The 15845-nt window shown below is 34.4% G+C and overlaps 1 protein-coding gene and 1 pseudogene across 1 annotated transcript in view; both read left to right on the top strand.

Moving 5' to 3' along the window:
* ITGA1 (integrin subunit alpha 1) overlaps positions 1 to 15845 on the top strand; it is a 171294-nt gene that overhangs the window by 113448 nt on the left and 42001 nt on the right. Inside the window, exons 12-15 of the mRNA NM_181501.2 lie at positions 4400 to 4545; positions 7535 to 7678; positions 8799 to 9056; positions 14101 to 14231. Of these exons, the coding sequence (NP_852478.1) occupies positions 4400 to 4545; positions 7535 to 7678; positions 8799 to 9056; positions 14101 to 14231 (679 nt within the window). The remainder of the gene's footprint in view (positions 1 to 4399; positions 4546 to 7534; positions 7679 to 8798; positions 9057 to 14100; positions 14232 to 15845) is intronic.
* RPL17P21 (ribosomal protein L17 pseudogene 21) lies at positions 2545 to 3115 on the top strand (annotated as a pseudogene).

The following is a 15845-nucleotide window of genomic DNA, read 5'->3' on the forward strand; positions in this document are numbered from 1 at the left end:
GAATGGTAAGATAAAAAGTTCATGATGCTTTAAGCCACCAACTTGTGGTAATTTGTTACAGCAGCAGTAGAAAACTCATACATAATACAAAATAATAATAGTAGCTGACATTAGTACTATTACTAATAAGTATTGAGTATTTACAAATTTAAAGACACTGTGTGAAGTCCACAAAGATGTGTATGATATTGTTGCCACTCTTAGGAAGCCCACACATTTTAATTGATAACACTGTAGTTTTTGGTATTCTTAATTATATGTGATTAAATTCCTTTAAAGTAAATAAACTCTTAAGAATCCTAAATTTGTCATTCCCAAAAACCTTTGGTTAAACGTTGCTTAAAGCAGATGTGGAGAATTCAACTTAAAGATGCCACTGCAAGTAAGAAAATATTAAGAATCTTATTTCTGAGCACAGTATTTATAATATATGACTTCTCTCTGTCCAAAAAGGAAATTTTTGGGTATGTTTTCTACAGTGTGCTGAGATTTTCTTTTCTGTTTCAGAAATTATTTCATTAGCTTACTCACAAGTGAGGGTATATGACATTTTGCCAACATAAAGTCTAATACATGTAAGATTTCTTTCAAAATAGAAAAGCATTCAGAAAAGGCAGGACAAATACCTTGTGTTTTTTTTCACCCAAAATAATATTCTAAATCTGAAATGAAGTTTTCAAAATGTTTCTTTGTGGGGGTCACAAATTGAGAAGAGACTGAGTGTATTTTTTCATAAACTGTGTGGATTGCAAGTTGTAAGGCTATGAAAAATCTTATGAAGGAAGCAGAGGCAGAGGCTCTGTTAGAAAAATCCCATGCTTATCAATAAGGATCAGGAAACTGTAAGAACTCAAGCTGTCAAACATCTGTCTCAGGACATAGTCCTACCCCATCTTTCTATTACCCAAACTGCCTTATGCCAATACAGGCATTGCAAGTGAATTTGGTGGTGAAAATACAGCTGGGATTATGTTCCCCTGCCTCCTCCACCCACAGTTTGCTGAATTCTATTCCTGCCATACAGCTTCCAAAGGAGAAGGAAAGATGTGAGGCAATGTCATGGCATCAAGACAGATCATACCTGTTTCCCATTACCTCACTAGATCCTGGCCCTTTTCCCAAGAAGTGAATTATGAGAGCTGACAGAATTCATTCTTCATAAATCCATGCAAAGGGCTATGCCATCCATTTTAGCCTTTTTTTCCTCTTTTTTTTTTCTCTTTATTTGAGACAGAGTTTCTCTCTTATTGCCCAGGCTGGAGTGCAGTGGCATGATCTCTGCTCACTGCAACCTCCACCTCCTGGGTTCAAGTGATTCTCCTGCCTCAGCCTCCTGAGTAACTGGGATTACAGGCGCCTGCTACCATCCCCGGCTAATTTTTTATATTTTTGGTAGAGACCGGGTTTCATCATGTTGGCCAGACTGGTCTCGAACTCCTGACCTCAGGTGATCCACCTGCCTCGGATTCCCAAAGTGCTGGGATTACAGGCATGCACCACCGCGCCCAGCCCTTTTCTTCCATCTTATTCTTTTCTTTTTCAGGAAACACTATTAAGCTTAAATATTTATAATTATTTTCCTTCTTTTAAAATTAGGCTTTACTTGGCTCTGGCTCTCTTTTTCTTTTCTTCTTTCTTGTCTTTAGACACCCAAGCCTCAATTAGTAACTACGCTAACTGGTAGTTACTGTCCCTGAGATTATTTCAGCTAATATTTTTAGTTATCAAGTATAAGTCATCAAAGAGAGTTAACTAAATAATCTCACAACTCCTAGCCTCAAACATAATTTTTAACTCATTTTTAAAGGAGGCCTTTTATCAAGTTACATTCACAGCTCTGCAAATTACACACACACACACACACACACAAACACACACGTACTAACACTCTCATTCTACTCCCTTCTTTATATTTCTTAGCAGAGTGGCATGAAATAAAACAGCCTTCATTTTGCACATTCTTCTTTTCCATTTTATGTATGTATAAACATGGCCTGAAAGATTCATTTTAAAACAATATTGTGGTTAGTAATACAAACATGTAACACATTACATGTTCGAAAAAATATTTTAGATTCTATTATGTATAATAATAAAAAACCCTCAAAGAAAGATGAAGGAATGAGAATGTGAGGAATATTCATAAAGGATAATATGCCTGAGGAATAGTGTTCCTTTAGCACTTGTAAGAATAAACATACTGTATAAAAACTTTTGTTCCTTTTTAACATTTTTGAAAGAAAGTCAAACCTACTTTACAGTAAAATACTTGGTAAGTGAGTTAGAAAAATGATCTTTTTCTCAGTGAGAAGTGCTATTCTGTGGCATTTTGAAAAATAATCTTACTTCTGCTCCACTGAAGAAATCTGGTTATTAAAAGAGTTATTCCTTTTATAAAATCAAAATCTGCATGTGGCAATTTTTATTCATTGATATGGCTCTCTTCTCAAAACACAAAGAACAAATCTAACTTTTCACTCAAAAATTAATCTTAAAGACACAATTTATGCTCTTCCTGTAAGCAGCCTGAGATGATCTCTTAAAATGGTTTACTATTCACTTGACCCAGAACAACCCAAAAAATCATTCAAATCAAGAGATTGAAATCTTCGTGTTCACTTTAAGAACATCCATGAAGCTACCCAGGCAATCAAGGGTTATGTATATCTGAAAAGCCACCAAGTATCTGAAAGATGTGACTTTACAGAAGCAGTGTGTGCCGTTCCATCATTGCAATGGTGGAGCTGGTAGATGTGTCCAAAGCCAAACCGTGGAGCTGGACAGAGGGTTTATGGCCCCAAAAGAGTGCTGAAAGTTTGTTGCACATGCATACAAATGTAAAAAGCAGTGCTGATCTTAAAGGTTTGTATGTAGAGTCTCTTGATCATTGTGTACATCTAGGTGGGCGAAGCACCCAAGATACACTGGCTCTGTTTACAGGGCTCATGGTCAGATTAACCCATACGTGACCTCCACCCCCACTATCGCACCCACCGCACTGAAATGATGCTTACTGAAATAGAACAAATTTTTCTAAGCCAGAGGAGGAGGTTGCATAGAAGAAAAAGGTATTCCAGAAGAAACCGAAGAAACAAAAATAATGACCCAGGAATAATTTCAATATAAAATATATGCAAATAAAATCAAAAGTAGAAAAAAGACAATCAAAATTTTAAAGAGCATGGAAGCTCAATTAAAATAGAGGAGAGAACCGGGCACAATGGCTCACGCCTGTAATCCCAGCACTTCGGGAGGCTGAGGCGAGTGCATCAGGAGGTCAGGAGATTGAGACCATCCTGGCTAACACGGTGAAACCCCGTCTTACTAAAAATACAAAAAATTAGCCAGGCGTGGTGGCGGGCGCCTGTAGTCCCAGCTACTCGGGAGGCTGAGGCAGGAGAATGGCGTGAACCCGGGAGGCGGAGCTTGCAGTGAGCCGAGATCGCGCCACTGCACTCCAACCTGGACAACAGAGCAAGACTCCATCTCAAAAAAAAAAAAAAAAGGAGGAAAGATCAGATACGTGAAAAATGATTCAAGCTCTGTGTTGAATAAAGTCACATTAAAATCACAGAAAGGTACTGTTGTTAGACAATGTTTAACACCTATTAAAACATACACAAATTTAAATAATAGTGATGATACACAAAGCCTGGGACAGTTTCATGAAATTGTCTTTCATATGGCGGTTCATAGAACAAAGTAGTACAAATTTTCTGGAAACAATTTTCTAGACACTATAAGAACCATTAAAAACGTGATCCAGTGATCTATTCCTTGAAATGTACTGTCAAAAAATCCAGAAGAGGGACAAATTTAAATGCTCCAAGGTGTCTTTGAAATCTGAAGCATAATACCAAAAATATTAAAACCACCTGAATTCTAGTGTTTTATCGGGAAATGGCCATGTAATATAAATGCAATGTCTTTATGCTTTAACCAAGAGAAATCATCTTCAATTATTTAAAATTACAATTTTAAAAGCTAGTAGCAGCACAGAAAAGGTTTACATTTTCTATGATTCCAATTATATGAAAAGTGTTAATTTCTGTAGTGCAGACACATATATCCAAATGAAATACAATTGATTTATTACAAATTGGGGTGGGGATGTGCAATTTTTTATGTGTGTCATCATTGTTATATCATTTGTGATTTTAAATAATGAAAAACTCAGATTGGGGGAAAATAACTTCTCAGGAGAAAGCAGTTGTGGTAGATAGAGAGCATATTAAAAGCTTCCACCAAAACAAATTCTTACGTGCATTGAAGAAAAAATATTATTTTCAAAATATAACCATATAAAAATGATTATCTTGGCCATTTAAAAAGAGTCTTAATTTATTACATGAAGCCTTTAAGGGTCCAGGTGGTATACCTGGAATCTTTCTTTTGTTAGGTTACACTGTAAACTCTGCTACTGCTTCTTCTGGAGATGTGCTCTATATTGCTGGACAGCCTCGGTACAATCATACAGGCCAGGTCATTATCTACAGGATGGAAGATGGAAACATCAAAATTCTCCAGACGCTCAGTGGAGAACAGGTAAACTTGAAAAATATTCTTTTATTTAAATTAATCTATTCATACTCTATGTATATTTACTGTCTATTGTCCTAAACTTAAAAATGCAATACCCACATATTCAGTAACAACTGGGAACAGGGCCCTGTGTTAGGTTCTTTGGAAGGATGTATAGTGTCTGTATCTTTGTCTTCATGTTGGATGGGTGTGGAGGTAAGATATACAATAGATGTGGATACAGATGTACAAATATATACACAAGAAAAGAGATCCAAAACATTAAGAGGCATGAAATTACCAGTGGCCCAGACAATACAGTCAGAATATGATGGGATTGCTTTAAGCTAGGATTGGTGCAGAAAAGCTTATTAGAAGATGAAATTCGGGCTGAATCTACAAGGGATGATAGAATGTGGATAGGTAGAAAGAGCAGTGAAAGAGAAAGTTAAAAAGATAACATGGACCCATATGATGTGAGGTTTTGAATGGCAAATTAAGAGCTTGGATTTTATCCTGGAGGTAATGGGAAATTGTCTGTAATATTTAAAATTGAAAAATTCTTATTAGGTAGTATTGAATATTAAAAGAAGTTTGGGAAATGATACATGAAATAACATTTACATATGTATATATAAAAACTGAAAGAAACATCGTAAATATGCAAACATTTACACACACACATATTAACTGAAAGAAAGATCTAACATGCTTTTTGTTGTTGTTATTTTTGAATTGTGATAGCTTGGGAACTTTTGTTTCTAAAAAGTTTTCTGTATTTTTCAACAGTTCTACAAGGAGGATTTATTAACTTTATTCCACAGTCCTTTTACAGAGGGTGGGAGAGGGGTTCTTCTTAGCCTTCACTAAATATTCCAACTCTCTAGACTAGAGGGGCAGGACTGCATCAGCCCTCCTGCTCTGCAAGAGTCCAAGCTGCAGCCCAGCGCAGCAGTAAAGCTCAGGTGCAGGGATACTCACATTAGGCAGGTCCACAAACTGCACTCGCTTTAAAGCCCCATGCCCTGCAGGAGCAGTATCTTTTATGACAACACCATAGACATAGCTTCCAGGGTGTCTACAAAGGGCAGGCCGGCTACAAGAGTAACTGCACTCTGGGAAGTCAAAAATATGTCATCTTCATCAGGTACTTATAATTCATTTATAGTTCCACACAGCCTGAATACAATATTCCAGTAAGAGGTTATTTTTACCCCTGTCAGCGTTGCTTAGCCTTAGTGGTAAAGTTGAAATCCCAGCCACAGCAGATTCCCAGGGCAACAGAGTTAGAGTAGCTAAAGGTCAGCTCCTCAAGTATCAGGTGAAAGGGTTTTATTAACTCTTTGCCCACATTTACGCTTGGAAAACGCATAACAGTTAGAAAAAGGCTATTGTTGTAGCTCAAACTGGAGGTAAGAGAACGTAAAATAAGATGTCAGCAGTAAAAATGGAAAAGGAAGGGCCATGACAGATATCAATAATAGGAAGTTGACAATAGTAAAATGAAGCATTTTAGATGACGTCTTTGATCCATTATCACTCCATTAATTGTATACAAGACAAGAAGTGTCAAATTTTATGAAAATTTGCATATGAAAGTTGAGGAGAGTATCATGAATGATTTAAATCGTGAATGATTTCAGTTTCAAGCCTGGGAATCTGAAAGAAAGGTGGCTCCATGATTAGAATGTCAACACCTCAAGCAATTTAGATATTTTTTAACAATGACGTTTGGCTTTTAGACATGTTCCTTGTAACAGTAAGCACAAATTCAGATATTTGAAGGTGCCAGTAAAGTAAAATCAAAATAGGTAAAGTCAATGAGTAAAGCTGCTGGGCAAAAAAACACAGGAAGTGGTGGGAACCATGGCCCTGGGCAGCTTGTGAGCTTCCACTGAGCTCCAGTTGACGGTTGCCATGTGGGGAGGAAAGCCCAGAGTTGCAAGATCTTCTATTTTATTTATGTTTATAATTAATTCAACTTTTAAAAAAACCTCTCAAGGCCCTCAAAAGCCTGTGAGAAAAGTGCATTCAAAAGTCAGTGTCTTTTGCCCACATGCCTAGAAGCAATGTCTAGGACTGTAGAACTGAAGCCTTGAGAAGGAAGACAGAATGATGTTTGCAATTGCCTTAGTAGAAATTTTTAAGAAGGATTGGTCATCTAGGGTAAGAGAATGGAAAAAGGCTACAGGTCTGAGCTTTAGAAGAGGCCAAAATTCAGAAAATGAGAGTTGGGGAAGAAGCCAGTAAATATGAAAAGGGTGGTCTATGCCACAGGGGCAGAAGCAAGAGAGTAAGAGTAAAATTGCAGAAGCCAGTACAGGGAGATGTACCATAAGATAATTGTTAAGAGCATCAAATATTAAACATAGAATAATATTTGAAAAAATTAAGCATTTAGGTAATGAAGTATAAGTTCTCTGCTTTTCTCTAAACAGATTTCTATCTTTAAATGAGAAAACATATTGCTACAAGGGATGATACCCCTGCAATCCTTCCATATTTTTCTATGTCCCATAGCTGCTGGGATAAGGCTTAACCATTTCATTGAGAAGACAATCTTCCAAGACTATGAGGTGAAATATGCCACACCAGTATTCCAGGACAACTCAGCTCCTTATAATGTATTTAAACATATATTCAGCCATTGCAGCATGCATTCTACTGCTTATCTAATTTTATTTCCTTAAAAAATCACTATAGTATTACTGACCTTTTCTGATTTGTGGAGAAGAAAGAGAGGTTAGAGTGAAATCTAAAGAAATTCATTTTGTTACTGTCAAGCGATGAAATCTGTAACAGCTGTTCATCCTCAAAGATGGAACCGACTGATATTCTTTATCCTCATGAAAGAGCCAATAAATAACTTTCAGGGAGCATCAATTTTTATCTTTCATTTCCTTTGCCAACTAGCTCCTCTTCTAGATTGCTAGAAGTAAAACAAATGTAGATTTCAGTTTCCTTGAGAATTTCTGTTGTTCATTGGGCTGTTTTGTTTCATTTTGTGTCCTAGATTGGTTCCTACTTTGGCAGTATTTTAACAACAACTGACATTGACAAGGATTCTAATACTGACATTCTTCTAGTCGGAGCCCCTATGTACATGGGAACAGAGAAGGAGGAGCAAGGAAAAGTGTATGTGTATGCTCTCAATCAGGTAATGGTGTCTGAGTTTGGTAGAAATCCAGGAAAATCTCTTCCTTCTCTTCATTTTTTAATAATAAATTCCAATTTTTCACTCACTTTGAAAAAACAGAGCAAAGAAGCTATCAGGATTCATTCACTCCACCAACCCCTCAGTTTTGAAATGACCATTTATAATTCTAATAAAGTAGCTCCAACTCTTAGATATTTTCTGCTTGGAAATGTGAATTATGTTTAACAATATATAGGATAAAGGAGGTAAATATAAATCTCACTAAACTGCTAAATAAACCCACAAGGCTTATTTAGGCTGGGAGGCTTATCAGCTCTGGCTTGGAGATAGATAATAACCTCAGCAGTTAAATCGGATAGGGTGGAGGGGGAGAAGTCATGAGTTTCAAGGCAGCAACACTGCAGGCTTCCAGGAAATACTTCACTGGGCTGGAGTGAGATTTTGTCTTCTGTTCCTGACTTTAGACATCATTTTTTAAGTTAAATAATTTTTAATTTCTTCATTAGAAGAGTGTTTTGCTCTTTATAGCAAAGCCAGTGTTTATCTATTTAGCTTTTCCAAATATGTACATTCTCTCCTAAATTGATTATTTTAAATAATAAATCATGTGTCTTTCTTCCTATCATTTTTTGGCTTCCTCCTGTCAACTTTTTTTGTCCTGGGCTGTTTTGTCCTTTTTCCAAGAAAGTGTATTCTTGATTACCTTTGCTAGTACTTTCTGTCTGGGTTTTTTTTTTTTTTCCTTCCACTCTAGGCAGCTTTAGAGAAAGTTTCCTTTCTGAGCAGAATAAATTTTCGCTTTGCACAATATTGGGTGAAGAAGGGATAGTGGCACAAATTAAGGATATAATATTATTTGGCCTGAAAAAGATGCTCTGAATTGTATACTCAATTGCATTAAAAAGAGATTCCATTAAAGTATGTCTCCCACACTTCTACCATCTGCTCTTTGGAATCCCTAACTTTACTCTCAGATAGGCACACTTTTTAAGAAATTTTACCAACTTTACCACTAATGTACAAATGGCTGTTAATAGCACTGATTTAGTATACTTTAAAAATTCTACTCTGCTGTAGTAATGATGGAAATACATAAATATCCTGTTTATCTTTCTTCCAGACAAGGTTTGAATATCAAATGAGCCTGGAACCTATTAAGCAGACGTGCTGTTCATCTCGGCAGCACAATTCATGCACAACAGAAAACAAAAATGAGCCATGCGGGGCTCGTTTTGGAACTGCAATTGCTGCTGTAAAAGACCTCAATCTTGATGGATTTAATGACATCGTGATAGGAGCTCCGCTGGAAGATGATCACGGGGGAGCTGTGTACATTTATCATGGAAGTGGCAAGACTATAAGGAAAGAGTATGCACAAGTAAGAATTGAAACCTACAGATTCCCACCCTTCAGTGATAAGTCGGTTCAATGCCAGGCATTACCTGTCTAACTTCATGAGTTATTTAATTTCTTCCTCCTGACCTTATTGGGAAACTGGATTTAATTCTCTTTAAGTGTTTTTTATAGATTAGTTACTATATATATATACACACACAAACAAACTATAAATATACACATAGTATGTATATAGTATATATAGTGTATATATAATGTGTATATAGTATATATATATACACACTATATATACTATATACACACTATATACTATATATGGTATATATAGTGTGTATATAGTATGTATAGTGTTCCTTATAGATTAATTACTATATATACACACTATATATACAAATAGTATAAATATATAGTATATATAGTGTATATGTAGTGTGCATATGGTATATATAGTGTATATATACACACTATATATAGTATATATGGTATGTATACTATATATAGTATATACGGTATGTATACTATATATAGTATATATGGTATGTATACTGTATATAGTATATACACTATATATACTATATATAGTATGTATACTATATATAGTATGTATACTGTATATACTATATATAGTATGTATACTGTATATACTATATATACTATACATAGTGTATATAGTGTATATATAGTATATATAGTGTATATATAGTGTATATATAGTATATAGTGTATATATAGTTTATATATTGTATATAGTGTATATATAGTGTATATAGAGTACATATTGTATATATAGTGTACATATAGTATATATAATATATAGTGTATATATAGTATATGTAGTGTATATATAGTATATACAGTGTATATATAGTATATGTAGTGTATATATAGTATATACAGTGTATATATAGTATATAGTGTATATATAGTGTATATAGTGTATATATAGTATATAGTGTATATATAGTGTATATAGTGAGTATATAGTATATATAGTGTATATATAGTATATAGTGTATATACACTATATAGATACTATATATAGTATAGATACACTATATATAGTGTATCTAGTATATAGATACACTATATATAGTATATATAGTAGATACACTATATATAGTATATATATCTATATATTAGATACATATACTATATATAGTGTATCTACTATATATACTATATATATAGTGTATCTACTATATATACTATATATATAGTGTATCTACTATATATACTATATATAGTGTATCTACTATATATACTATACATATAGTGTATCTACTATATATACTATACATATAGTGTATCTACTATATATACTATACATATAGTGTATCTACTATATATACTATACATATAGTGTATCTACTATATATACTATATATATAGTGTATCTACTATATATACTATATATGGTGTATCTACTATATATACTATATATGGTGTATCTATATACACACACTATATATAGTATATAGATACACTATATATAGCATATCTAATATATAGATATATATATTATATATATAGTGTATCTACTATATATACTATATATACTATATATAGTGTATCTACTATATATACTATATGTATAGTGTGTATCTACTATATATACTATATGTATAGTGTGTATCTACTATATATACTATATATGGTGTACCTATATACACACACTATATATAGTATATAGATACACTATATATAGCGTATCTAGTATATAGATACACTATATATAGCGTATCTAGTATATAGATATGCTATATATAGCGTATCTAGTATATAGATACGCTATATATAGTGTATCTAGTATATAGATATGATATATATACTGTATCTAGTGTATCTACAATATATATTATATATAGTGTATCTACTATATACTATATATATTATCTATATACTATATATCTACTATATACTATATATTTCATATATAGTGTATCCAGTATATGTATTATATATAGTGTATCCAGTATATGTATTATATATAGTGTATCCAGTGTATGTATTATATATAGTGTATCCACTATAGGTATTATATATAGTGTATCCACTATAGGTATTATATATAGTGTATCCAGTATATGTATTATATATAGTGTATCCACTATAGGTATTATATATAGTGTATCCACTATAGGTATTATATATAGTGTATCCACTATAGGTATTATATATAGTGTATCCACTATAGGTATTATATATAGTGTATCCACTATATATTATATATAGTGTATCTATATACTAGATACACTATATATAGTGTATCTATAAACTATATATAGTGTGTGTATATAGATACACTATATATATAGTGTGTGTGTGTGTGTGTGTGTGTGTGTGTATATATATATATATTTTTTTTTTGAGACGGAGTCTCGCTCTGTCGCCCAGGCTAGACTGCAGTGGCACGATCTCAGCTTACTGCACGCTCCACCTCCCAGGTTCACACCATTCTCCTGCTTTAGTCTCCCGAGGAACTGGGACTACAGGCTCCCGCCACCACGCCCGGCTAATTTTTTGCATTTTTAGTAGAGACGGGGTTTCACCGTGTTAGCCAGGATGGTTTTGATCTCCTGACTTCGTGATCCGCCCACCTCGGCCTCCCAAAGTGTTGGGATTACAGGCGTGAGCCACCGTGCCTGGCCGTAATTACTTTATATTTTATACATTTATCTAGTTTCCTTTCTGTTGTTATTTTCCATATCTCCAGGATTTGACTTTTTGAAACAGTTAAAAAAAAGAATACTTTGTAACAATGCTGTTTAACATCTGTTAAATTTAGAATGGGACATTTAGTGTGTCCCGTTCTAAATAGAGGGCACTGCTTTCTGAATAAGGCAAAAATAATTGTATGACTTAACCAATAAAGGAAATTAGATTCTTGATTTTATATTTAATGTCCATGCTGTTATAATAAATTGCATTAAATTTATATTTATCCATTAAGTTGATATATTTTCGTCAAGTGAATTACGATTTCTAAAGGTTTATAATTTTCTCGCAAGTAATCCTTAGAAAAAATAAATCTGAATATTAAGTTTAAGCTGCAGGGAACTTCTGTTATTCCTGTTTGTAATTTGTTGTCAGTTAACAGCTCTAATCCATAAGTGTATTTTTTTTCCTTCATTAGAAAAATAACAAGTTACAAAAGTGCTTAATGCACTACACTATAAAAACAAAAGAATTTAAAGGAGTTTGAATGTAATTGTCTGCTCTCAAGTAATCATAGTTGGTTAGATATTGAACAACTACTTACAAATAAAACAGAATTCACTACCTTCTAGCTTATATAATTTGAAAAGAAATTAGAATATTAATTATTTCATTTTCTATTTGAGTGTTCTCTTTGGTTCTGTAGTCAACAGAGCTCTCAAAATCTATTCATGTAATGCAAACATGAGTGATTTTTCATAAAACCATAATGACAATAGTGAACAGAATAAAGGGCTTATTTCAATAAGAGCACTTGTATCCATTTGATAAATAATTTGTTTCTGTTGAAAATCTTTATGGCATTATTTACTTAACAAGAGACAGGCAATATTAATGACTGGGGCATGATGGAATTAGGAAATGCAGGAAGAGAGTTCTTTCTTATATTCTAATACTTTATTCCTTCAGCATCAATCCTGTAAATTTAATGGGGTAGCATTTGAAGTAGAAAAGGAAAGCTAAATCATTGTCAGATGAAATAGATTTGTCATAAACAACTTGTTTTCTAAATGGTGGTAAATCAAGATGCAACTTTAAACAAAAACAACAAAAAGAATATTAGAGTTGGATTTGTTTAATTACTGGCAAAATGTTTTTCCAAGGAATAGGTGAAGATGTGCTTACTCATTTCCATGAGAACCAGAGATGCTGCTTATGTATGGGATAATCCAGAATCAATCAAGCCCATAGAACCAAGGAGTCAGATATCTCCTGAATTCTTCACTTAAAAAAATGAGGAGGATTGCTGGGTGCGGTGGCTCATGCCTGTAATCCCAGCACTTTGGGAGGCCGAGGCAGGCGGATCATGAGGCCAGGAGTTCGAGACCAGCCTGGCCAATGGTGAAACCCCGTCTCTACTAAAAATACAAAAAATTAGCCGGGCATGGTGGCGCGCACCTGTAATCCCAGCTATTCGGGAGGCAGAGGCAGGAGAATCACTTGAACCTGGGAAGTGAAGGTTGCAGTGAGCCGAGATAGCGTCTCAAAAAAAAAAAGGGGGGGAAATACTTTCAAACGAGCCTCACCTGTTTAAGGATGAAAAATGTTTCCATTTGGTTTGCCTTAGTAGGCTTCTTATTTTATGTTATTTATGTGGAAAACAAGAGGCTCAGAAGACTTGAAGTTTAGGGAGGGTTTGTAAGTCCTGACTGCTTGCCATGGGCTTCTGTTAAAAGCATTAGCTTAAGCTTGAACCAATGCTAAGTCAGGAAGTACAGATATCAAACATACTATGTATGGTAATGTGCACAGATCAGTCTTCAAGACATACTCATTTGTGCCATCTCAACGTTGTGAATACATCTGAGTGGAATTGAGTCTCTTGTGCCCTCAACTTTTAGGACAATTTTTGAAAGACAGTAGAGATTACATATTGGAAAATGTATTTGATGGGATGTGTTATTTATACCCAGCCACAAAGTTCAGTGAACTCCAAATTGACCCCTAGGACAATATTATACTCCCCTCCCCCCTTTGCTGATATGATATGTTTTCAAGATTTCCAGTACCTTTAGATATGTCTGTGTGATGGGATTGGCTAGGAAGCAGAAAGCACAGAACCAATTACTCATACTGTTTCCTTTGAGGATTAGACACAATGACACTATATAATTTTTCCCTCTCTCTGGTGTCAGTGACCTTGTAATGATTTTGTCTGTACTATAAAAACAGCAATATCCTCTGGGAACATCTGAGTATTTCCTCTTATCTCCACATGAGGGACCTCTTGGGCGGATTCCCAAATTAACAAAACTGATTATTTTGTTAAACAATTTAAATTCTCAGATTTATTTGAAACTGTTTTGAACAGACTCTTCTCATATGAAACTCTTTTTTTTGGATTCTCACAGCGTATTCCATCAGGTGGGGATGGTAAGACACTGAAATTTTTTGGCCAGTCTATCCACGGAGAAATGGATTTAAATGGTGACGGTCTGACAGATGTGACTATTGGGGGCCTTGGTGGTGCTGCCCTCTTCTGGTATGTATTTTAATAACATCCTGTTAATCTGAGACTGGGTCACTTGCAGAGCTCCCAGTGTGATTGGAGCTCATGTCATACCAAATATCTATTTCCTTTTGTGTTCCACTATGCAAATACAAGTTATTCAGTTGAGTGAGCTGGAAGAGTCAATACATCTTAAGAACAAAGAAGCTATATGAAAGAAACAAGTAGAATGAACTCTTAATTTGGTGTGTCTATTATGTGGTTTACACTAAAATAGGTATTCTGTTTTAGGAGAGGTATAGGGGAAGAGAAGATCTTATAGAGGATGTATATAAACAAGAAAATATCCCTAATATTTGGTTGCTTACAAGGTTTTAGAGATAATCGACTTTGTATTCATTTACCTGATACATAGAAACAGATAATCGCGTAGCACTCTCTGACTCTGTTTATATTGTTGGTCAAGCCTAGAGGCATCTTAAGTAATATCTTCGCTCAGCCTTTAAAATGCCTAAATCCCCAAATTGGCCCAGTTCTTTCAGATACATACATTCATAATGCTTTATTAATTATGAATAAATAATAATTTAGTAGGCAAAAATAATTATTGCTTACTAAATATCCTATCTCAAAAACTAAATATCCTATTTCAAAAACTGTTCTGTTTGAAAGAAATTACTAGGAAGTCAAGAATCAACTTAATGAGAAATCCACATGATAATTTTGAAAAATATATAATAAATTTCATTAAGAAATATAAAGGAAGGGTTTCATAAATAAAATCTATTTATGCCAGGTGACTTTATGGGAAGTCCGCATGTTGATTCTCCTAAATTAATGCATTGGTTTACTGTAATTCGGGTGGAAACATACATCAATGCTCTTTTTCCCAAAAATCTACCTAGAAGAGTAATAAAGTATAAAAGAAAGGTGAAGATAGAGAGGTGAAAATAGATGACTTTGCTATAATTTAAGATAATGCTTAAGAACTAATGGTCAAATTAAAATGGTACAGTAAATTGTGCACATACAATAATCACTATTTAAAAAAAAAACCTTTACAATAGAGGGGAAAGAAGACTGAAGGGTGATACCTAAGAAAAGGGAATATTAGGCAGCACAGTGGCTGGGACTTTGGGGAGGACTCACCAGAAGCCAAGGCTCAAAACCAGAAGTCAGCAGTGTCAGGGACAATGGATATACTTCAATTTTGTTTGAAATGTTAATCCTGAATTAGTTTATTATGCTCCCTTTAGCTCACAAATATTTATTGTATTAATTCTCATATTAAAAATATGTTTTCAGGGTTTTTATGCTCCAGTTTTGTTTCAAGGCTTTCTTGCAAAGCTTTGCAAACTTATTTATGGCCTCTCCTGCCCCAAATCAAGGCATTGATGGCCCAAAATGATAGTCATTTCCCTATCATAGTCCAGGCTCCACTGACAGCAGAATGGACCAAACCGATATACTGGGACACGAAGACTAAGATTCACAATGCCTAACAAGAAGTGAGAGTGGATACAAGTGACAGATGATAGGAAAAACGTTTGGAAGCAAATAGTGAGAGTCTTGTCATGAGACCTGGACTGACTCCCAAGAAAGATCTGGCTGGGGCAGAGAGGATGTGTGGGGTGGACAATGGTCGAG

Source organism: Homo sapiens, chromosome 5 (assembly GCF_000001405.40).
Source record: "Homo sapiens chromosome 5, GRCh38.p14 Primary Assembly".
In the NCBI taxonomy this organism is placed as follows: domain Eukaryota; kingdom Metazoa; phylum Chordata; class Mammalia; order Primates; family Hominidae; genus Homo; species Homo sapiens.